General features: G+C 37.3%; 1 protein-coding gene and 2 long non-coding RNA genes across 21 annotated transcripts in view; 2 read left to right on the forward strand and 1 right to left on the reverse strand.

Annotated features, from left to right (window-relative positions):
* LOC105371881 (uncharacterized) overlaps nt 1–24,001 on the reverse strand; it is a 78,916-nt gene extending 54,915 nt beyond the window's left edge. Inside the window, exon 1 of the long non-coding RNA XR_934952.3 lies at nt 22,420–24,001. This is a non-coding gene — a long non-coding RNA (uncharacterized LOC105371881). The remainder of the gene's footprint in view (nt 1–22,419) is intronic.
* LINC01028 (long intergenic non-protein coding RNA 1028) lies at nt 465–17,289 on the forward strand. 2 transcript variants are annotated; one of them, NR_104129.1, is made up of 3 exons: nt 465–604; nt 11,405–11,526; nt 16,379–17,289. It is a non-coding gene; the product is annotated as a long intergenic non-protein coding RNA 1028 (long non-coding RNA). The 2 variants fall into 2 exon arrangements; NR_104130.1 differs by lacking the exon at nt 11,405–11,526.
* A 417-nt stretch (nt 24,002–24,418) lies between the features above and the next one.
* The window catches only part of KCNJ16 (potassium inwardly rectifying channel subfamily J member 16), a 60,384-nt gene continuing 59,371 nt past the window's right edge, over nt 24,419–25,431 (forward strand). For all 18 annotated transcript variants that reach the window (XM_017024609.2, XM_047435953.1, XM_047435952.1 and 15 more), the window contains exon 1: nt 24,419–24,584. The gene's annotated coding sequence lies outside the window, so the exon portion shown is untranslated. The remainder of the gene's footprint in view (nt 24,585–25,431) is intronic.

The following is a 25,431-nucleotide window of genomic DNA, read 5'->3' on the forward strand; positions in this document are numbered from 1 at the left end:
TGGCATATGATTAACAGCTATGATATGCAGGCAAGACTTCCAGATGAGTTGCTGATGAAACTTGTGTGAGGCACAAAAAAGATGGATAAGAGTTTCACAGGAGTGTAAAATGGCAATGTGCATTATGTGTTTGTTAAGGGGTATCAAGATGTGGAAGACATCATCTGTGATTCTTCTTGAGTCTTGGACTCTGTAAAATCCACATTGTCAAGTCATAAGTCAACTTGAAGCTCAGAGGCTGCCTGTGTTGGGAAAAAGGGTGTGAATCTCCAGGGCAAGACAAAGATTAAGTAATGGATGCTTTGATGTTGTTTCCTTGAATGCGTCTATCTCATGTGTGTTTCTCCCCAAATATTTGGTGATAATGTGGTTTGGCTGAAGGAGAGAATGTTTGTTGAACATTATGTCAGCATAATATCAGCTTTAGAATTTCACAGATATCTAAGTGTCCTAAGAGACCAACTGGACTGGATATCAGACCAAGATTCTGATAAAAGGGGATAACAGAGATTAACCGGAGCAGAAAAAGTACTTTTCTGAGCCAGAGATAACAAGAGAAACTTAAAGAAAGTGCTGAAGCAAGAAACTTTAAGCCTGTGAGTAGGTAAGTAAAAACTTAAATTTTTTGCAATAATACCAAAGAAGATTTCCTTTTCTATCGTATTAAATTAGTGCTATCGGCTTTGGTCTAGATGCTTCTGTCTGAAGTATAGTGGCTGTAGTATTGTCTTTGGAATAAATATTAATAACGTTTGTTTCTGAGTATTCATTTTCGTAATTAATTGCTTCAGGTTGAGCTATGTCGCAATTAAAGATCATTTTGAACCAACTTCTACACTCAAAACATGAGGAAACTGAGCTCATAGAGAAGAAATGACACTTGAAAGTCTCTCTGACAACCTATGCATTTAACATTCATCTATAACACTAACATTTTACACTTTTGCTGTTTTCCTTTGAGTACAGAAGCCATCATGAATGATTCGTTTTTTGTTTTTGTTTTTTTGGATGGTCTTTAGTTTTTAGAACCATTTTAGGTTTGTAGCAAAATTAAGTGGGAGGTACACAGATTTCCTGTATATCTGCTGCCCTCAAACATACATAGCATCTCGTGTTATCAAACATCCCTACCAGAGGGGTACATCTGCTATAACTGATGAACCTACACTGACATATCACTATCAGTCAAAGTCCATACTTTACATTAGGATTCACACTTGGTGTTATACATTCTATGGGTTTGGACAAATTTATAATGACATCTATCCATTATTACAGTATCATGTAGAGTTGTTTCACTGCCTTAAAACTACCCTGTGCTTTGCCTATTCATACTTCCCTTCCCCTAACTCCTGGAAAACACTGATCTTTCTTCTGTTTTCCAAAATCTTATATAGCTGGAGTCACGCAGTACGTAGAATTTTCAGATTAGTTTCTTTTACTTACTAATATGCATTTAAGTTTCCTCCACCTTTTAGTATGATTTGAAAGCCCATTTCTTTCTAGTGCTTAATAATATTTTATTGTCTAGATGTACCACAGATATTTTTATCCATTCACCTACTGAAGGACATCTTGGTTGCTTTGAATTTTTAGAAATTATCAATAAAGCTACTATAAACATTTGAGTACAGATTCTTGTGTGACGTAAGTTTTCATCCCCTTTGGGTAAATACCAAGGGGCTCAATTGCAGGATTATATGGTCAGAGTATGTTTAGTTTTATAAGAAACCACCGATCTGTCTTCCAAAGTGGCTGTACCATTTTGTATTGGCACCAGCAATAAATCAGAGATCCTGTTGCTCCACAGTTTCCCCAGCATTTAATGTCAGTATTCTGGATTTTGATCATTCTAATAAGTATATAGTGGTATCAAATTATTGCTTAAATTTGCATTTCTCTGATGACATATGATATGGAGTATTTTTTCATATGCTTATTTGCCATCTGTATATCTTCTTTGGTAAGGAGGCTGTTAAGTCTTTGGCTTATTTTTTCAATTGGATTGTTTGTTTTCTTATTGTTGAGATTTAAGAGTTCTTTGTATATAATTGAATAATAGTTCTTTATCAGATAGGTCTTTGGCAAAAATTTTCTCCCAGTATATGAGTTAACTAGTTAACTAGTTTCTCCTGATGAGATATCTTATTAAGAAGACAAGAATGCTCTCTAGTGTATGTCAAAATGCCTCCTTTCCCCTTCCTCTGCCAGAAGCATAAGGGGATTTTTAATTTTTAAAATTTTTTTGCCAATATTTACTGTGAGAACTTGGTGCAACTCCTGGAGGCAAAATTCAAAAGTGTGTCTCTCCTCCCCTCAACCACCTACTCCAGGACTGGATCTCCCTGGAGTTTTTAATCCTTGGACTTGTTTACACTGACCTCCAGAAATTCATCAATTACAGCTCAGGTTTTCCTACTCAAAACTGATTCCCTTGGAGGTTTCTGTTCTAATAAGCTGTGATTTTTTTTTTAATTCACCTCTTGACTTACCCAGTTTTGGAGGCAGTGGTTTGCCCTGTGCCCTCGCTTCTCTGATCGATCTAAGAGTTGTTGATTCTTCAGTTTCTTCATCCTTTTGTAATCAAGTGTTCACCTTGCCTGCTGCCTAGACAGGGCCAGCTTATCCAGACAGGGGAATTGCAATGGAGAGAGAGTAATTCAAGCAGAGTCAGCTGTGTGGGAGATCGGAGTTTTATTATTACTCAAATCAGTCTCCCAGATCAGAGTTTTTAAGGATAGTTTGTCGGGTATGGGCTTGGAAAGTGAGGAGTGCTAATTGGTTGGGTTGAAGGTAAAATCATAGGGGGTCGAAGTGAGTTCTTGCTGGCTTACATTCATTCCTGGGTGGGATCGCAGAACTGGCTGAGCTGTATTATCAGTCTGAGTGGCGTCATCTGAGTGATGTCATGTGCTATATCAGAACGCAGGGTCTGTAAATATCTTAAACACTGATCTTAGGTTTTACCATAGTGATGTTATTCCCAGGAGCGATTTTGGGAAGGTTCAGACTCTTGCAGTCAGAGGCTGCATGGCCCCTAAACCGTAATTTCTAATCTTGTAGCTAATTTATTAGTCCTACAAAGGCAGACTGGTCCCCAGGCAAGAAAGGGTTTTTCAGGAAAGGACTGTTATCAATTTTATTTCAGAGTTTAAACTATAAATTCCTTCCCAAGGCTAGTTTGGCCTACACCCCGGAATGAACAAACACAGTTTCAAGGTTAGAAGGAAGAAGGGGTCAGTTAGGTCTGTTTCACCGACATAATTTCCTCACTTATGATTTTTTGCAAAGGCAGTTTCACTTTGACTTGTGGCAACTTCCAAGCTTCTAACACGTTTCATAGGGCTGATTTTAGGTTTTTAAACTACACATTTTATTATGTTTTAAAATGAGAGGTCCATCTAATGACAGGATTATTATATATAGTATATATCTTATTATATCTTTAAATGATTAGTCTTTGGAGTTTATTTCCTGATTCTAATATTTTTCATGTTATTATCTGATAGAGAAACTAATTAATCATATTATTAGAGCTAAGTCTCTGTCTGCAAGTATGAAGACTAGATCATTTAAAACAGTTAATTCTTAAAGAGCTAGAGACCCAGGAGGGAAAATGTATTTGAAAAATAAGAGTTTCTATGTCATTTGTTAAATCAACAGAAACATGACCTGAAGTTCCACCTAAAAACCTTAAAGTCCCAATTATTCTTAATTTACAAGCTAAATTTAATTGAATACTTGAATTAAAAGCTCAAATTTTACTTCATCAAAAGACTCTTCCCATAATTTTTGGTAAGTTTCTCATCAGTATCAACCCTTAGAGTTTACCATGAATGCTGAAGACTCACTGTGTTACACTTATCCGTTCTGTTACAGATGAACTTTACGGGAGAGATTTTAAAAAGATGAATGTATTAGCATTTAAGCAGTCAGAGAATAATACACCAACCCAAGTAAGAGAGGTCTATGAAGCTGTTTTGTTTGTTTTTGTTGGTGGTGGTGGTGGTGGTGGTAAATTTACCATTACTAGCCACCAAATGATGGAGTCTGTGATTGTTCCAGTGCCTCTCAGATAATAATATCTTTTATCTTAATATATTTTCATCTTAATATTGCAGAAGATCTGGTGATGTTGTCGTGCTGGTAAGAAACAGAGCTCAGGTAGCCCACCTCTCTTAAACCTCTAAAAGTGTTTCTTACTTTTAAAAATATTTCTGGAGTTAAAAGTCCTGAGATGTATAGCTCTCTCTCAGTCTGAGAGACTCACTTACCTGAGCAAATACTTGAAATTTTTCCTTACATGCAGAGCCTCGGTAGGAAGATAACGTATCAGTCAGGTGTTGCCTTTACTCTGCCAGAGGCTTCAGCTGTTAGGAAATTTACCATTCTAACTTTTCACTGTTGGAATCGCTGGGTCATGCAGAGAAGCAAAATCCTTTAGATTTCTTTCGTCCTCTGTTGGCAATACTGTAGCCCTGACTTAGGATTCAGCTGTTACATTTTCTTTTGCAACTGGAGAAAATTGAAAATGTAACTTCATAATATCCCTCCACTCAATGTTGTCAAAGACACTTAAAAACTCCCAGTTACTACTTAAGCCTTAAAGGTGCAAAGGCAATTTCGTTTTGGGGCTTTGCTCCTCTTTTTCAGCTGACTCTCTAAAAGCCTGTTTCTTCCCCAGAAGCAGGTGTCTTGTTGCTGAGTATCACACTTATAGTGGGGGTGGATCTTTGAAACTGGATCTGTGGACTTTTCTCTCTTACCATGAGCCCTCTGATCTCTGCAGCATTTTTCCTTCCTTGGAATTCTTGCACAAACAGGAGTGATTGATTTTCAAAATTCAGACTATTCAGTTTGATCATTTTAATCCTACCACAAAATCATGGCTGCAAGAGGAAACTTTATTTAAGATATATCAGCCAAGATTCTAAAGAAAAGTTGGTGTTCATTTAATTCTTTTAAAGTCTTGGAAGGTATCTAATCGCCACAACCAACCATTGATTGAGACGTCATTTTATTTTTCTGAGTCCCAAGAGCAACATAATAGGCCTTCAAAGCATATTAATCTTGAATAGAATCAATAAAGAATAAATGTCATTTTTAACAGACTGGAAAAATGAGGATTCTCTGGCAGTGATGTAACCATGCCGAAGTATGAAGTTGTGTTTTTGTGTGATGGGAGTAATTGAAGAGCTGAGGGCAGGCTGCAAAATGCAGTCAAAGGAAAGCAGGCTTGCCTTCAGCAAATGAGAAGCTTATAGCTTTGTCTTCACAGCATAGTAAAAAGATTAAACAGAATCAGACTGAGGAAGGAATTTATATCTCACGATGCCTGCCCACTTTCTGAGAAAGGATACAGTCATCTCTTGGTATCTATGGAAGATTGGTTCCAGGGCCCTTGGTGACTTTAAAATTTCAGGATCCAAGTCACCCATAAAATGGCATATTACTTACATATAGCCTACACACATCCTCCCACGTTTTTTAAAAATCATCTCTGGATTACTTACAATGGAAATGCCATATAAATAGATGTTATACTGTGTTGTTTTTCATTTTTATTATTTTGTTGTATTTTCATTTGTTTTGTATTTTATTTTGTTTTAATATTTTTGCTCTGAGGTTGGTTGAATCTATGCATGCACAACCCATGGATACAGAGGGCCAGCTGTACTTGCAAAATAACATATGCTCAATTTTGTCTTAAGAACAAAGTATTAGTTCACAGGAAGGACAACCAAAGGTCCTTTATTCATTTGTTTTTGTATTTATTTAAGAAGTACATATTGAGCACCTGTTTCATCTCAGTTACCACGAAGAGTTAGAGAGACAGGAGGGTGGGTGGTAGATACCAAGATGATAAAGACAGGACCTTGAGGAGTTCATAGTATGATGGGGGAAGAGAGATATGCAAATAAATCATCAGAATTTGTAGTTACAAATGGGATACTTGAGCCTGAACAATGTGCTCTGGAAGCACATTTTGCCTGGGAAGAAGCAGGAGTAAGTTCATGAAAGATGCATGGGTCTCTAGTAAGTGACTGGTACAGTATATTTAATGATTCCAGGCTTTAGACTTCTACAATTAGGCAAACAAACTAATCTATATGTAAGAGATACACAGTACCTTGTCCAAATTTTTGTCCAAATATTTTCATACTACAGATGTGTTCTAGCCCCTCTGACTAACGTTTCATTTTAACTGAGACTGGAGCAGTGTGGAGCAGCTGAGCCTTGGAAACGTAAAACCAGGGAACAGTAGGTGGTGTGAGACTACAGACCTCGAATCTTCATGAGTTCTGGTCTCAGGTAGATTAAATTAATTCAGTGATGTAGAAGTAATAAAATAAAATAAAATAAAGTCTGACTTCTGGAAATGACTCAACAGTTTAACAACAAACTTTCTTTCAAATCTGTAAGTATCTATTCTTATTATAAACGATTCTTGTAAGGTTTAAGGTGTGGACATTCCCACCTCACTGGCCGCTGTTGTGTGTGTGTGTTTTGCAATTCTATCTAGACCTCAGCCAGCCTTTTGGGAAATTTAGAAGGGATCACAGGGCCGGGAGAAGATAAAGACAAGAAAGAAAAAGAGAAAGAGGACAGTTTTTCTAGGATAGAGCAGATTTCGTTCTGTTGGTCCTCCAGGCTTTTTCTCCCTCCTGATGATTTGTGAAAACCCACCTTCCTGAAATTCCATGGACCAAAGTACTGCAAGAAAGTAGACGACAAAATCGAAAAGAATTTGGAGTGAAACTGGATTACACTGGATTATGCCTACTAGATGTGACAAAATTCTAACTCTAACTCCAATTCTAAAATCTAATTCTTTGGCTTTTAACATTCCACACTGATGATCCTGAATAATAGAAAATAGATTATGTAGACAGAATTTGAAAAAAAAAATTCTAAGTGGACTTATGTGTGTTAATGGGTTAATACATGAGAATCCTTTGTGTTTTCAAAGCAAACTTGCATGGGTTTCAAAATATTGTAACTAGTAGCTAAAGTTAAAAATATTATCATATCTTTTAACTCAATTAAAAGCTGGGCATGGTGGCTCATCCTCGTAATCCCAGCACTTTGGGAGGCAAAGGTGTGTGGATCGCCTGAGGTCAGGAGTTCGAGACCAGCCCGACCAACATGGTGAAACTCCGTCTTTACTAAAACATACAAAATTAGCCAGACCTAGTGGCACATGCCTGTAATCCCAGCTACTCGGGAGGCTGAGGCAGGAGAATCGCTTGAACCCCGGAGGCAGAGGTTGCAGTGAGCTGACATTGCACCAATGCATTCCAGCCTGGGCAACAAGAGCAAAACTGTCTTGAAAAAAAATTGATAAATTAAAAATTTTTTTAAATAAATAAAAATAGTAGAATATTGAGGTTGCTAAGCCTTTAAGGTTTTTCAAAATGGTGACAGTTATTTTTGTTTCATGCTTAGGATAGATGCCCCATTACCATGAAATCAGGTTTTCTATGGCAGTTTGCCTACATTCCCTCATGTTTTTTTAAATAAAATCAGTTCATCAAAGGGATAATTAAATGTGGTTTATTTGGAAATGAACTCATAAATCAGAAACATATTTGCCTGGAACATAAATCCTGATTTTTTTCGCCCATGAAATTTAGTTATTTTACCCATGAGTTCAATAACATAGGCGGGCGCAGTGGCTCACGCCTGTAATCCCAGCACTTTGGGAGGCTGAGGCAGGCGGATCACGAGGTCAGGAGATCGAGACCATCCTGGCTAACACGGTGAAATCCCGTCTCTACTAAAAATACAAAAAATTAGCTGGGCGTGGTGGCGGGTGCCGTAAGTCCCAGCTACTCGGGAGGCTGAGGCAGGAGAATGGCGTGAACCAGGGGAGGCGGGGCTTGCAGTGAGCCAAGATCCTGCCGCTGCACTCCAGCCTGGGCGACAGAGTGAGACTCCATCTCAAAAAAAAAAAAAAATAATAAATAAATAAATAAATAAATAAATAAATAAAAATTAAAAAAACATTAAGTAACATAGCTTGGGTAATTGAATGCTAAAGTAAACAGTCTCGTGAGATTTAAAATTTATAATTGACATTGTTTGACTGGAAGTAACCCTCTGGGGAAGTCACTATACAGAATTGTTAACATTAAAATATAGTTAATGAACAAATGAAGCTGGGCAACTTTTCCTGCAGATTTTGAAGGGAGAGTGAACATCCCTTTCCAACCTTATAATTCTTTGTCTTTACTGAGATCTTCTCGAGTTGTTAAATTTCAACCTGTTCTTTATAGTGTCAAATGAAAGTGCCATTAGGGTAATCCCATAGAACTAGTTCGTGACTTTCTTTTTTTTACAGTGATACTGTGGTTTGGATGTTCAGAACATCCAGGCACTTCCAGATCAGTATCAGCTTCAACGGCTCAAAGTTGTTCCAGGAAATGAATGAAGTGCCCTGTGTGACCTCCAGTAAGCTTGCTTATTTCAAGAGAGCTTGGTGTTTTCTCGTGACAACCTTGCAGATTACTTCGGTGACAATGTAAGCCTTGTTCCAACACCCAGAGGAAAAGAAAGGTTTTTAATGAAATGGTGAGAGTTGAAGGAAGAAGAATGACTAACACAACACCTTGGCCCACTCATGGTGAAGATGAGACTTAAAGGAAGTTTGGCTCCTACTTCCTTTCGAAATAATTGCAACACCTAGGAAAATTAACATTCAGTCAATAGCTGGGCTCTGCCAATGTGCATTTTCTTCCTTGCAGAACACCGAAAAAAAAATTGAATTCCAGAGTACATTTCTTACTTAGATTAAGGACACTGACAAGGTCATTTCTAGTCTGCCCCAGGTACCATATGCAAAAGGATGGGAGTGGGAGGGAGAACACTGATGAAGATAACCTGGCACCCTTACTACCTGTGTGACTTTGAGGTTAACTTTTTCAGGCTAATATTTGTATTTGGAAAATGGGAGTGATGATTTTGTATTTACTCGCAAAGAAGGTTAGAAGGATTAAACAAGATAACACATGTAAGGCACGTAGCACTCTGCCTGGCACTGAGCAAATGCTACATAGGAGATAGCTGCTATTAATAGCGCAACACGATAGTTTCCTTGTGGAATTTTCTCCCACTGACTCTCTTTCAACTAAGTGGCAGTACTGTTTTTGTATCTATTTTAGGAAAAAATAAAGACCTGCAGAACAAACCTAGTTTCTATTTCCTTGTCATGAAATAAGCTTTCCCTTAAGAAATACCCAGCACAAAGACAACCCAAATATATTATGAGAAGGTTCATTACTTCTGAATGGTCATTTAACTAAAGTGACAAAAGAACGATGACAGGATTATTATTATTTTCCTTGTTATACTAGGCTTGATGGTGAGTTCATGTTACACTTAGCATTATTAGGAAGAATTAGTGTAATTGTTAGAATTATCAGTGGGGAAGAGTACTCTGCTTCCTAGAGAGTGGATACCCCATCTTACCAATAAAGGCAATAAAGAAGATGAAGGTGACACTTTTTAGCAATTCTGTGGTTTAGTGACTCTGTCCTATTCATCTTTGAGTCCCACTGAGACTGGTTTGAAATACAGAGATACTAATACCTTGTACAGACAGAGCAAGTACTGCTTTTTGGAAGTTGGATGGAAGACCATATATATATACACACACATATATATACACACATATATATATATACACACACACACACATATAACCCCTGTCTAACACATAGATGTGGTTTGAGGAATTTCCATCTGTTTTTGGCACTGCCTCTTTGGTGCATGTGGCACTCGTTCAAACAGCTCTCAGGTTTCACTGAGCTTAGGATTTGCCATCTGGTTGTTTGGAACAACTTTTCTTTGTCCACTGATAAACCCAACAAAAGGGTTACGAACAAAAATGAGCATGATCCAGGTGCCAGGAAAGATGCATTTCTCTGACAGTTTCCTCCTCTATTTTTTTTTATAGCAACACTCATTTTCCATAGCTCTGAATACCACCATCACCATCCAATTCCACCCTGGGAGGAAATAAGGGAGCAGGCTCCATATATAGATTACATACTCTATGTAAAATTGCTTGTACTCAAACCCAAAACACTCTGAACTCACTTCATCAGTATTGGTTGGAGAGAAAAATTCTGTGCCTGAACAAGGTGCAGATTTGTAGCACCATTATCAGAGGCAGGGCTGATTAGCATATCACGGGCCAGCAATATTACTGAAATCAGAAATAAAATTTAAAGTCACGTTTAAGGTAAAATAATTTGCTTATTTCATTCAAATCCAAAAACTAGGAATCATATGATAGATAATTGGGTTGTATGTTTTAAAAAAGGCAAAGGAAATAGGGGAAGTGTCTAAATTTCTAACTTAATCCTATAGACAAATTGCAAATAAATTATAGAAACAGAACAGGGACCTATCCAAAAATCATAGAATTTCTAGGCTGAAAAGAATCTTAGGTTTGACTTAATCATCTTAATTTTACACATGAAAAATTGAGACTAAGGGAAGTTAAATGGCATTTCAAGCTCACAGATGAGTAAGTGGCAAAGATGAGACCACAGGCTAGATCTCTCCATTTTAAGATGGGTGTTTTCAAAGTATGTAATCAATTTGTGACTTCTTGTCAATATTATCCAGTTCAATTTTGTTTAATTTAATAAGGACCTACTGTTTTCTCATGGCAACCATCTTATTTAGATACCTTCTAAAACACAGAAGTGTCAACTGGTTGATGAGATTTAATAATATTATCCAGATTACCTTTTGTTTCATAAAAGATCCCCACAAGAGTTATATGTTCATATTTTACAAAACAAATTGTATACCATTATTTTCATATTTTAATTTCATCCTAGTACAACTGACTGGATGATGGGAAGGTTCAGTCCATGTATCAGGTAGAACGAATCATCATCACATATAATTATGTGCCCCAGAGGCAAAATGCCTGGTTCCCTCTACACATTGTCTTCTCCACAGAGACAGGCAAGGAAAATGGTTATCAGTGAAGCTGTTTTGTCAATTTCTGATTAATTTGGGGGAAATGGTAGCAGTTTGTTTCCTGTTATGTCATGATGCATGGATTTGGTGCTTTCATAAACACAAGCATGTTCAGATGATTCAACAGTTTGGTTTTGACAAATTCATTAATACATTGATTTTCATATCAAAGAAAATATTGATCTATTTAAAGGACTGGCTATGTATCGGGCACTCAATCTGTGTTCCCCAACCACGCTGAAATTTTGTTTTCCCCCAACAGGCCCACATGAAAGTACAGAAAGCCAATGATAGGCTGGCTATGGGACCGACGTAATTGGAAGTGAGGCACTGACCCAAAATTTGGTGACAAAAATATACTAGAAATTTATTCCTTTCTTTTTCTTTTCTTTTTTTTTTTTTTCTACAGAGTCTCACTCTGCCACCCAGGTTGAAGTGCTGTGATGCGATCATAGCTCACTGTAGCCTCAATCTCCCAGGCTCAAGTGATCCTCCAGCATCAGCCTTTTGAGTAGCTGGGACTGCAGGTATGTGCTACCAAGCCTAGCTCATTTTAAAAATTTTTAGTAGGCCTGGCACGGTGGCTCAAGTCTGTAATCCCAGCACTTTGAGAGTCCGAGGCGGGGAGACCACAAGGTCAGGAGATCAAGACCATCCTGGCTAACATGGTGAAACCCTGTCTCCACTAAAAATACAAAAAATTAGCCGGGCGTGGTGGCAGGCACCTGTAGTCCCAGCTACTTGGGAGGCTGAGGCAGGAGAATGGCGTGAACCAGTGAGGCGGAGCTTGCAATGAACCAAGATTGTGCCACTGCACTCCAGCCTGGGCAACAGAGTGACACTCTGTCTCAAAAAAAAAAAAAAAAAAAAAAAGAATGAAATAAAGGAGTGAAAAAAAAATTTTTAGTAGATAGGAGGCTGAGCTGGGAGGATCACCTGAGCCTAGGAGGCTGAGGCTGCAGTGAGCTGTGAGCTATGATCATGCCTCTGCACTTCAGCCTGACCAACAGAGATCCCGTCTCAAAAAAAAAAAAGAAAAAAAAAGTAGGAGAGATGAGGACTTGCTATGTTGCCTATGCTGGTCCTGAACTCCTGAGCTATATAGCAGTCCTCCCACCTTGGTCTCTCAAAGTGCTGGGATTACAGGCGTGAGCCACCATGCCCAGCTGTAGGTGGAGCATCAGCAGGTTTTAGGTAGTAGCAATAAGCAAATCATTTGAGGTCACAGTATCCAACCAAGAACTCAGTAGAGATAGAGCTTGCGGATTAGATGCCTTACTTATTACCTGAAGCTGAGCATGAGGAGTGGGAAAATTAGTGATTAGCAACAACACGCGTGTCTAATTAAACAAATAAAAAGAAACTATTAAAGTAGAAATAAGAACTACTGAATATAAATACCTTCAACAGTTGTATGCTATTTCTTTTTTTCCACCTTTTTTACTCAAACAACTTGTACTCATATTTAGGAGTTTCAGTTGGCTTTTCTCACCACTAGGCTCTTCTTATTTCTTGCACCTTCTGTCCCAAGGATCTATACACATGTCACCTGTCACAAGCTTAGAACTGATGAGACATGAGTACTTTGGGCTGATTACACTGTTTTTTGGTCTCCTCCAATTACTGATATCTGAGCTGGGCCAAATGAGTGGGATTCAGACCAGGCTGCCAGATCGAATACACCATACAATTCAAAGTTTCTGCCTCTGGAATCCCTATAGCTCATTTATCTGTAGCTCACTTGCTTGCTTCTTTCTTTCTTTCTTTCTTTCTTTCTTTCTTTCTTTCTTTTTCTTTCTTTCTTTCTTTCTTTTTTCCTTTCTTTCTTTTCTTTCTTTTTCTTGTTTCTTTCTTTGTTTCTTTCTTTTTTTTTTTTTTTTTAAATAAATCACCTTAAGCTATGTTAGAGGCCGGCCATGATGCAGTACTCTAATAGCTTGGTTATGTTGGTAATTACAATCATATGAGACAAAGTGTCTCATGTACCATATGACAACAGGAACCCAATAAGGGCATTGGTAATTTGAGTTCCCATTTTAAAAAGAATCTGATTTAAAAATATATATATATATATAAATATATATATATAAATATATATATATATATTCCCCTTGTCTGCCTAAAACTTTAGAAAGCTCATGAGCAATCTTGGGATATTTGCAATAGTTACTCAACAATCAAATTTCATGTTTTAATAATTTCTAGTATTCAAGAAAAAAAGAAAAGTGACTCTCTAGCCATCTATGGTTTATGAAACTGAATTGTGTCATTCTGACAAAGCAAAATATATTGCTTTCATAAGGGAATGGAAACATTTGTTTTCAAAGAATATAGGTAAGACATCAATGAAATCTTGTCTCCCTGTATGAAATATATACCAATTTCCTTTTAATTCTAGAAAGCAAATATCGCATTTACATACTATACTTATTTGGCAGGACAAGCAAAGTTCCCCAGGAAAGACCAGGGGTGGCTGATAGATAGATATTTACTGGTTCATATTTTTTTAAAAAAATTCCTAAATGTCGTGAAGTTTTAAACGTTTTTTCTTTTCTTTTCTTTTTCTTTCTTTCTTTTTTTTTTTTTTTTTTTTGTTCTTTGAGATGGAATGTTGCTCTTTCTCCCCACGCTGGAGTGCAATGGAGAGATCTGGGCTCACTGCAACCTCCTCCTCCCGGGTTCAAGCGATTCTCCTGCCTCAGTCTCCTGCCTCAGAGTAGCTGGGATTACAGGCATGTGCCACCATGCCCAGATAATTTTGCATTTTTAATAGAGACAGGGTTTCTCCATGTTGGTCAGACTGGTCTTGAACTCCGACCTCAGGTGATCCTGCCGCCTCGGCCTCCCAAATTGCTGGGATTACAGGCGTGAGCCACCGCACCCAGCCTTATTTTCTTTTTTTAAAAATGGCAAAGTAACCTTGTTTGGGAAGTTTATTAACATTGAGAATTTGTTTCCTCTGTTTTTGTGTGTGTCTGTGTGTGTGAGAGAGAGATCCTAGCCCTGACTTTTTCCCCTGTTCCTCATTTATCATCCTGTCCAGGTCAGTTCATGGGTTCTGTCCCTGGATGGTACAGCTTCCCGTTGCTTTCTGTCTGTAGGCCTTGGGATAAAACATCAAGAGACTGAATCTATTAGTGGGTCTTTCAAAACTCTGCTTTTATTTTCAAAAGTCGATGTTCGTTTGATTCTACAGAGGTGTTGGAATTTTCTCCTTGTTTTAATCTTGGCTCTCTGTTTCTGCTTTGACATAAAAGAGATCTTAAGTGGCTATAAAACTAATGCATATTATTAACACAAAACATTTTCAGGGACACAGGAAGTTTTGAAAATGAACTTTGGTACTGGTTATCTTAGCCAATTCCTCAGGAATCAATTTAATCATAGAAGGGATGTTTACAAGAAGATCTATAATGTACATACGTGTGTGCATGTTTTATAAGTTGTTTTCTTTGGTTAGCATTAAAAACATGACGAAAAAGAGGCCAAGTATGGTGTGGGTGTTCCTGTTATTTTATATATACATTGGATCCTTGTAAAATACTTAGGAAAAGTGAGATTCCTAGACAGAGAAGATTCTAAATCTGCACATTGCTGAAAAACCAGATGCGATATATTGAAAAGCATTTACTTTGGGTGTTTTATGTAAGTGAGCTAGTGCCACAGAATTGAGGAAAAAAAGCCTAAAACACAAGAACCACCACCACCACAACAAAATCTAACTTGAGATGAACAAAAAGGAAAGAATGTTTCAAGGGTAAGATAAATTTCCTGGAGTGCAACAGTGGTGAGCTGATATGATATGACTTTTTTTAATGCAAATTACTTCCAATTCACTTGACATATGAGGGAACAATTTGAACATGTGTCTGCTTGAGCATAGCATAAAATTTGAGCCAACTTTCTATGTACCAATGTGAAATTTTGCCTCTGAGAAACACTAGGTAAATGCAATAAAATCTGCACCCAGGTCAATTGATCTATGTAAGAATACACGCAGAAAATCAATCATCTCCCAGCCACCTCAGTTCACAGTGTGGTATAAGCTCACCCATCCTGGTGTTACAAATTTCCATCAGATTTCAGACAACTTCAGGACAACTAAAAAACAGCAAACATTTCTTCCAGTGCCCACTTCCATGAGTAAACTTCAGGTTTTGAGTAAACTTCAGGTTTTTCAAGGCAAAATGTCATATTTATTACAGTATCTATGCATTTCTTAACAATGACCATGTGCAAAACTATGCTACCCTTTTCCTTGGGTTCTTATTTTTTATTATTTATTATCATATTTATTACTTTATTTTGAATTTTTAAAAGGAAAAGTCTCACTGTGTTCCCTAAGCTGGAGTGCAGTGATAAGATCTTAGCTCACTGCAGCCTCAAGCTCCTGGGCTCAAGGGCTCCTCCCACTTCAACCTCTCAAGCAGCTGGGACCACAGGCACCACCATGCCCAGCTAAATTTTTTATGTTTTGTAGAGATGGGGACTCACTATGTTGCCCAGGCTGGTCTCAAACTCCTGGCCTCAAGTGATCCTCCCACCTCAGCCTCTCAAAGTGCTGGGATTACAGGCGTGAGCCACCATGCTTAGCCAAGGTCCTTATCTTTTTAAAAAATGCACTTCCGGTAACATTTTTGAGTGGTATGCTCCTATGCTCCCAATTCTATTTTGTTGAAAGTCCTGTGACTTTTTTTTTTTTTTTTTTTTTGAGACAGAGTCTCTCTGTCGCCCAGGCTGGAGTGCAGTGGCACTATCTCGGCTCACTGCAGGCTCCGCCCCCGGGATTCACACCATTATCCTGCCTCAGCCTCCCAAGTAGCTGGGACTACAGGCGCCCGCCACCTCGCCCAGCTGATTTTTTGTATTTTTAGTAGAGACGGGGTTTCACCGTGTTAGCCAGGATGGTCTCGATCTCCTGACCTCGTGATCCGCCCGCCTCAGCCTCTCAAAGTGCTGGAATTACAGGCGTGAGCCACCATGCTTAGCCAAGGTCCTTATCTGTTTAAAAAATGTACTTCTGGTGACATTTTTGAGTGTTATGCTCCCAATTCTGTTTGGTTGAAAGTCCTGTGATTTTTGTTGTAGATCATGCATCGTATGGTGAGTTTCAGAACCACTATGTCACGTTATAGTGGAACTAATGGCATAGCTCACTGTGAGCAGTGTGATGGCAGAAAAGAACACATGGGTGACAAGCACACGAGGCACCAAACACTTTAATGTGCCAGGACTCTGAGCCCTGCAGGTGTTATTTTCTATGAAATAAGATCTCTTCTCTACTACAGTAGCAAGAAAATCTCAACATGCTACTTTGTCTTTATTTTCAAATGTGTCCTCTGGTCATTGTATTCCTAATGCCTCCACGGTTTTGTTTACCTAGGATGAACCTAACCAGTTGGCAGTGCCTCGTACTCTGTGATGGATTTTCCGAAGACCAAATGTACCATTTTCTTGTCTTTTCAAAGAGAGCCACACAGGAAGGAAAACAAGAAATTCAACTTTTAAGCTGGGCTATTCATGGCCTTTGCTAAATCCTGGCAGAATTTCACAGTTCTTCATTACAATTCATCTCACTGATTTCCTAATGCAATGAACTGGCCTTTTCATTAAGGCCATAGGGAATGAAGCTGAGTTACCCAATCATTAAGTGTTGTTATCTGATGAGTGAAAAATGGATTACTTTTCGATGTGCATTTGGGGAGCCGTGTGTGTGTGTGTGTGTGTTTCCACTAGATTCCATTTTGCGAAAATTGGTTCAAGTGGAAGGACAGGGTTAATCTTTCATGTTCTGTTCTGCTAGAACACTATATGGCTTTCTGCTCTGTGAGCAGGCAAAGAAAAATTGGTGGGCTCAGGAATCAGAAATGCAGGGCCAACAGTCCTGTTTCTCACTTTCGATAAAGGCCAACATTTTACCTGCTCAAGAACACTCTATTCCTTTAACCAACGGGAGTGTTATTTAATTAGTTCCTTCGTTTTTCAGCTAAAGCAGACACATGCGCACATCACACACACATGCATGCGCTGTGGTGTTTTTTCTTCTATCACCCCTCCCTCCACAGAGATATCAATTTGCATAAGAGGAGAAAATAAATTCATTTAAACCCCATTCTAAATTCAGTATTAGAAATGTAATGATCTCTAACACTGACCTTTTTAAAATACTTTGTGGATAAACCATTGATTTTATTTGTTCTAAATTTACTTTAAAAGACCTGTTTTGTAAATCACTAAAACACATGTATTTTATTTACCTGTTTGGGATAATATTAAACATAATCTTTGAGGGTACTATTTTGTCTATTATAGTTTTATTCTATAACATAGATTGAACCGTTTTCATATCCAATTCATTTTCATTAAATTTTTAAATGGTAGTGGTTTAGGCTTGGGATTAGATAATACATAGCCCATTTGATATAACATTAAAGCATCTTTATTAGATGTAAATAATTTATCACCCAGGTGTTTAGTTTACAGAGTACTAAATATTTACATATTTCATAACATGTAAATCAAATGCTAAATAAAAAATTTTAATTTGCCATCCTGTTATTTTAGCATTATATAAACACATTTGCAAAGATTTTAATGTTTTAATGTGAATTAAAGGTACATGTACCTAACCTCTTATCTTTCTACCAATCCTAGTATGCATATATCTGAAATAGTAGTGTGTGAGGTGTGTGTGTGTATGTGTGTGTTCATGTGTGTGACAGAGTGTATTATGTTTTTTGAAATGCAGAGATTAGGATAAAGGAAACCATAAATGCAAAATAAATTAATTCTCTAGAATAATTGTATGCAGTGGTCTACACAATTTTGTTAAATTTGGCTCATTCATTTTTTTGTCTCACGTATAAATCAAAGTAAATAGTTAAAACATGAAGTATGTTCTTTCCTAAGTTGGATTGTGGTTTACAAGATATTGAAACAACTGAGCATTATAAATATAGCCAGTCAATTTGTTGGGGGCTAAGAAAAAAAAATGAAAGAAAAAAAGAAAATTGAAGTTGTATTTTATCTCCATGCAGCACTATACAAATTCAAAACCAAATTCAGGATTTCTGAGCTTGTAAAATCTGAACAGTAACTCTCTTCATTTTAGCCTACCTAGATCTATATTTTAATCAATGTAATATTAGCAACCTGTATAGATGACAATGAGATGAAGATGTACAAAAATGTACCCAACTGTTCCATTTTGAAGAGTAATAATTAATGAGAACACTTATATTTGGGCAATAGCAAATGAAATTATAAGACTATGTAAGCGTGACTATGTTTTTTTGGTGTCAAATAGACTATGTCTACATGAATCCAATTCAACCACCTATGCTAAATATTCAAATGGCCATATTAATCTTTTTAAAAAAGAAACAATGTATCAGTCTTTTTGCCTTTGTATAAATATAACATCCTACATAGATTCATTCATTCCTTAAATATATATTTATTGATCACATGTTATGGGCTGAGACCTGTGCCAAACTTTGAGTATTCGGTGTGGAAGAAAAATAAGACAAAATCTATGTCCTTATTTATGTAGTTTCGTTTCGTTGTAATATGCAGAAAAGAAAGAAAACAACTGTACATCTAGAAGAGATAATAGAGGGCATCCAACCATTTTATTTTGCACACTAGAAAACTAAGATCCAAAGAAATAGTGTCTTGACAAGGGTCACACATCTGGTTAGTTCTGTTCGCAGTAGAATCCCATTTTCTGATTTTTCTCTAGTGATGTTGCCCCTATACTTGGCTGCTTCTACCTAATTGATGCCATTGAAGAATTTCCTTCTCAAGAAGTGAAAAATCTTCAGAATAAGTACCCCTGCATACTCAGATAAAGAAAACTCAGAACTCTCTGTGACTCCCTGTTTCTCCTCTTTTGCTTACTTTTGTCAGCTATTAAATAACATAAGGGCGTTTTATTCCATTTCCTTCTGCTTAGCTCTCCCTCTACCAGCTATTTCCAGCACTCATTAACTTACTCCTTCTAACTTACTCCTTACTTCTCCACCCCTCCCCTCTCACCTACTGTCTTCCAGGCAAATATGTGCCATATATGGGCCAGATACACATTTCAGAAAAAGTCTACTTCAGTTTTAGAGAGATGTCATTAGTATATGTAACTTACCATGTTACAATAGACATCATCTTAGATACATTATTTAATTTGAAATGACATCAAGTTACATAAATACCTTTTGGTCACTTTTTGTGCAAGCCATTAGCTCCAGAAAGCTAATTTCTTCATTTAAAAAAATCCTCATTAAAATTTTGAATACATTGTTTTTTTGAAAATGCTGAACTGAATTGCTCCTTGGAGAAACAAATTTGAGTTAATTATTTTTTCTTTATCTTCTGCACCTTATATGCATTTTGGAGGGCTTGGAGTAGATAGTAAAATACAGAGTCCTTAAATTAAACAGAAGACAAAAAGGAAGGAATGAGAGGGAGAAAAAAAAAGGGAGGGAGAGAGAAGGGAAAGGAATAGAGAAAGGCAGCCAGGCAGGCCAAAAGAGACTTTTTGTAGGAGTCAAAGTTGTAGCTCTTGTTACAACATGAGACATTCTGATTTGTGGTTTGATGGACTAGCTGTGTGAACTTTATCTTTACAAAAGGAAAAAAGCCCGTTTGCATAAGCAAAGGCATCACATTTCAATTATATGCCCTTTGGAGATTCAAAAGTTCTCAATTTCTCCCTCCTCCAAATACAAACATAAACTCAGTCAGGTTTCTCATCAGCGCAGAAGTTAAAGAACACGTGACTCTGGTAGACAAAACAAGAAGATATACAGACTCATTGGAAATGTCTAGATTTTGAAAAATACCTGATGTGGGGAAAAATTAAAAGAGACAGGAATGGAAAATTCCTCTGCTGGCTTCCTGTTCTCCTTCCTGCTAAGGTGGGATTAGTTACCAGCTGTCAAAAGAAATATCACTTTTAATTCTTATTTTAGGGGGAAGGAAAGCATCAGAAAAAGCTATCTTGGAAGGGAGTGAGGCAATAAGGACATTCATTTTTGCAATTCATTCCTGAGGTTTGAAAGAGCACAAGTTGGGAAGAAAAGGATTATGTTTCCTATGAAAAGTGAAGAACTGAGGACATGATAAAGGCAGATTAATCTCCTTCAAATATCTCCCAATAACATAATCAATGTGGTAATGAAGCCAGTTAGGAGTTTGGGGCTTGAAGTATCCAAGTAATTATTTGAAATCTCTCCTTGGATAGAAAAAGAATTAATAAGAGCAAACTAGTCTTTAAAATGAGGGCATGTTTTGAAATGAAATCAATTATCTTTGATGCAATTACTCTTCCCCTGGAAAGCATTTTTTTTTTTGAGAAGGATAACTTTTCAATTTACAAGCACTTCTTGCAGAAGAATAGAATTTACCTAATGCTTGAGGATGCCCTTCAAATGTTGGGTCACATCTGGTGGATACATGATAGTTTATAAAGCTCTCTCAAGGTATGGTTTCAAGTAATCCCCATAACATAGCGTAGATCATATCAGTCAACGCGGCTGTGATTGGAGTACTAAAAAGCCAGTACACATGCTCTAAAAGATCTGCTTCACTCAAATCTCCTGCAATGTTGGGAATTCCATGGTTAGAAATGCATTCCTTTGCATTCAGACAAGAGCTCCTTGACTAAGGTTAAAAAGCAAGATTCAAAATTGTAAATCTGACCGAATCTCAACTTTATCTTAAGACAGTAGAGAAAATGACTGGAAATAATTTGACCAAAGAAAATTGAGACTTGTGATTATTTTTTATTGCCCTCTTTGCACTCTTATTCATAGTATCTACAATAAACCTATATAACTTTAACATCCAGGAAAGATTTTTTTAAGGTGTTCTTTCCATTTTCCCCACTCTGGGAGAGATAATGTAGTTTTTCATCTATTAGCATGATTCAATGTATCAGATTCATTCAAATGAGACAGCCAATTTCATCCATTTTATTTAAATAATTGTTGAAGTGCAGTGCATCATCTTAGGAAAATGCTGAGTGGGAATTTTCATTTCAATCTTAAGAAAATTGCTCCTTGAGGAAGAAAATTCAAGTTGGCTCTTTTCCCCCCTTTTCCTTCTGCCTCTGATTCCATATAGTCTGGAGGGTTTCAAACACAATAAAACACACTGAGCTCTTCAAGTGATTGAGACACTTCAGAGGAACATTTTGAGAACTGGGATTATGAAGCGAGAGGACAACTCAGGCACAACCTAGTAATGCTGCAGTATCTGGGCAGCAAGAGGGTCTTGCGACTCAGGAGAGATGGACGATGGACAGTGATAGGGAAGCTCATTAAGAAAGTAAACTGAAGAAAAAGGTAAAGAAACCTTTAAAAGACAAACAGTTTTATTTTCCTAATATGCTTGTTTGCTTAATTCAGAAAAGCATTCATCCCTCAGTATTAGTATTAGTATCAGTACTGAATTCTAGCTTTCTGTTAGTCACTTGGTTGGACTCAAAGATGAATGAGGGAGTCAAGCACAATGACACATGCCTATAGTCCCAGCTACTTCGGAGGCTGAGGCGGGAGGATTGCCTGAGTCCAGGAGTTTGAGACCAGCCTGGACAACATAGGAAAACCCCATCTGAAAACACACAAAAATTAAAAATTAAAAAAAAAAAGATGAGTAAGATTCAGTAAGTTCCTAACCACAAATATTTAGAATTTAGTAGAGGAAATAAGACATGCAACTAAAAGCTAAAATATATAGATTGAAAAACATCGTGCCTTTAAAGAGTATTATTCTTTTATTATTATTAATTTTGAAATAAACTATTTATTGATATTTATAGTAGGCAAGGAAAGACTTAGTAAAAGGAATATTGAAGGAAAGATAGGATTTTAAGTCATAGAAATGCAGTTGACTTGGACTTAACCGTGAGAGGAAAATCATTAATCAGAAAAGAGGAACATTACTTTTGGAGAAGAGTAAATTTTACGGCTTAGCTAGTTTTGTTTTTGTTTTTTTTTTCTGTAAAGGGCCAGATACAAAATATTTTAGGCTTTAAGGACCACAGTCTCTGTTGAGGTCTTGAAGGTCACTGAATTCTGTTGTGTAATATGATGCCTTCATTGACAGTAAGTAAAAAAATAGGGATAGGCATATTTACCAATAAACATGATTTACAGACATAGAAATGTGAATTTCACATCATTTTCATGTCACAAATATTAGTTTTCTTTTACTTTTCCCCCGCTATTTATCATTGTAAAAACCATTCTTAGCTGGGAGTCCTTACAAAAACTGGAAGCAAGCCACAGTCTTCCAGTGACGGAGCTAGAGTGTTCTCTCTAACAAGTAACCCCTTTGTACAATGTAACTTCCTCTTAGGCCAATACTAAAATCACAGAACAGCAATACATTACAGATTTTTGAAAGAGATAATTATTTATCACTTACATTCAAGTAACAAATTCTTGTAATTTGACAAATCTTGAACATGCCTCCTCAACTTGCCTCAGTTTGTCTTTCTGTTTGGGGGAGGATTAAAGTTCACAAAAGTTGAACTTCAATGAAGTTAATTATCAGTTAAGGTAGACTGAGGAGGCAGAGACATGTAACAGAAAAGCCAATCCAGATATCATTTTTATTTATTTGGCTTTAGAAAGTGTTTTTCTACTTACATGTGAGTATGGGTGTGTCTGATATTCTGGGAATTTACTTCAAACAAAGGAATGAAGCCACGCAATGGCGATCTGACTCAGCTGGAGTTGGGAATCCATCTAGTTTCCCCATCTTGCCTCCCGTCTTGCTCTTCTCCATGGTCTGTTTTTACGCTGTGTTTAGATGCCTCGTCTTCTCAGATCAATCTAAATGCTCACCCACATAAAATCACCTTTCCTGAAATTGTATTTGCAGAGCAGATGGAGTCCTGTCCATTTTTGCGTGTGTGTTTTTTTTAAGTCTTTTGAGATAGAACTCTAACAAAGTGTGCTCTGCTTTCAAACAAGGCAGTAATTGAGCAGCATTAAGTGATAATATTGAACAACATCATGGATAAACCACAATGAGAGTTGCTGCAATTGTTATGGAAATGTAGGCATTTGTTTAGTCTTCAATTTTTTTTTTTAACAGAAAAGGCAACCTCTGCATTCACTGCTTACCTGAGATTTATGGATGAATGAAAAGATAGGTCCCTTGGAGAGTTCAAACTCTTCTGCAGATATTGTGTAACAGATTGCAAAATAGGTCTTCCTATCAGAATATGTATACCTTAGTGACAGCTATGAGTTTGGAACACGAATTATCTATCTGTGGTAGGTGTTGTCGTTGTTGCTATTATCATCCCCATTTGACAGTTGAGAAAATGGAGTTGCAGAAAGGTTAAGCAGTTTCTCAGTGTCACACAGCTAGTAAGTGGCGGTGCCAACATAGAAGTCCACTTCCTCAAGTGTTCATGCTTTTAAAAATGGAAACAAAACTCTAACAACCGTCAAACAGCAACGATTGTCAGAACCTAGAAAAGGCCTCTTAAATTTGCAGTGTTAACCAAGCCTGATGTGGTTCCCTAGATCCCCTGGCTGCCACCGCTCTGTGAAGCAAAGGAAAAACTAATTCCTTGCTAGCATAACACTTCTATTGAGCATTCCTGGACACAACTCCCCCAGGTTCTGAAGAGCCTAGGGTTGCTATTTGTTTAGTTCCCCATGGCTGCTTTTCACATTTTCTGGATCTTTCTCTTGATTCTAGCATTATAAGTCTACCTCTTCCCTGATCACTCACTTTTCTACCTCCTGGAGAGCACTGACCACGGGATCACCTCACCATTTTATTTAACCCATTAGGACTCAATGCCAGGCAAAACCTATACCACAGCCTGCATTGTATTCACCATCTCAGGCTCGAGCTCTGATTCCTGGGGTTGAGGAAAGGAAGACTTTCCAACCCCAATTTCTGCCATCCATGTTGATTAGTCAGAGGGCTAATCAACTGTGAACTCATGTTCTTTGGAACTAGGCAGCACAGGAAAAATAATCATTAAAGGTTTGGTAAATAAAAGACTGAATGGATGCTTAGCTACCTGTCATTATCCTGTCTCGCTTTTCGTCAGCATGCAATCCCAATCCTCAGCTGTTAAGATGTAGACAAAGAGTTCTGATGAAAGGGATTTATTTGTACTATTCCAACAGAGTCTGAAAACTAGCAGGAGCATTTCCATAGGTCGTCTCTCAACAATCCTGTCTGTAAATATTTGAGTCACTTACAGGCATTGTTGAGCATAGTTCTGGCCCAGCAAATCTTCCTCCTTTGTATCCCTGATCAAGTAAAAACTTAGTCAGGATATACTTGGGTGACCTTCACACTGTACCTCCTCCAGAGGTACAGAGGTGGTGACGTAATCACTGCCACAGCTGACTGGCTATGGCTTGCTTGATAAGACGCCAGGGGCTACCTATGTAGATTCCCAGGGAGGAACTGTAGGAACAAACCGGTGTCAATGGTTAACCCAGGTTCTTGGTGTCTGGAGCTTTTCTTTCCTTTATTATTAACTAAAGAGCATTCTCTACCATTGCCCAGCTGAAAGCACCTAGCTCATAGATTCTCTGTGGGGAGAGTGAATAAAGGTAAGTGCTATTATTGCTATGGATACAATGTCATTCAGCCTATGTTTTGCTCTTGCTGGCATCTGTGTTTGGGGAGCAGCAACACTCTGTTTCCAGCAAACGTAAATATTAATGATCAATTAAATGCAATTAAGATAATTTAATTTTTTATCCAAGTGCTTTAAGTAGGAATCAAACAGTGTGTCATATTCCTTAAGTTATTTTGAAGCTTTGGTTAAAAGTAGTCTCACATTGGTGTTTACAGAGTCTGTTAAACAGCCCTTGCCTGCTATTATATTTGTAAATGTCTAAAAGTGGCTTTATTATATTCATACCACATGGAGTATTCTGCAATGTCTTTCAAAACCAGATTTTTGCATCCTGTATGCACTTATGAACATATAATTGCAAATATTGAAAAATATGTATTTTATACCCCCCTCTTAAAAAGCTCAGAGAAAATACACGTTAACTTTTTTTTATAGTTGTCTATAATCATTGAAAGGAAATAAGAGATCTATTTTTTCTAGATTTATTTTAACATAAATTGAAAGTGAAGAATTTTCTCCTTTTGTTTTCACCTTAATCCCTCTAAAGCTTTTTTTTTTTTCTTATCATTTAAAAATCTTAAAATTTTGTTTTGAGTATTTAGTCAGAAAAGTGTGAGCTTGTAAAACTTTGCTCTCTGGATGCCACGAATTCTCTGACATATATAATTGAACAGTTTTCCTTGTTGGTATATTTAGGTAGTAAACAATAACATTTCTATAAGCCAGATGAATTTTGATCATGTGTATTACATGGACTGAATGGTCTTTAGAAAAAGAGTATTGGAGTATTTCTGCTAAATATTACTCTTATGGCTAGT

Source organism: Homo sapiens, chromosome 17 (assembly GCF_000001405.40).
Source record: "Homo sapiens chromosome 17, GRCh38.p14 Primary Assembly".
NCBI classification, from domain to species: domain Eukaryota; kingdom Metazoa; phylum Chordata; class Mammalia; order Primates; family Hominidae; genus Homo; species Homo sapiens.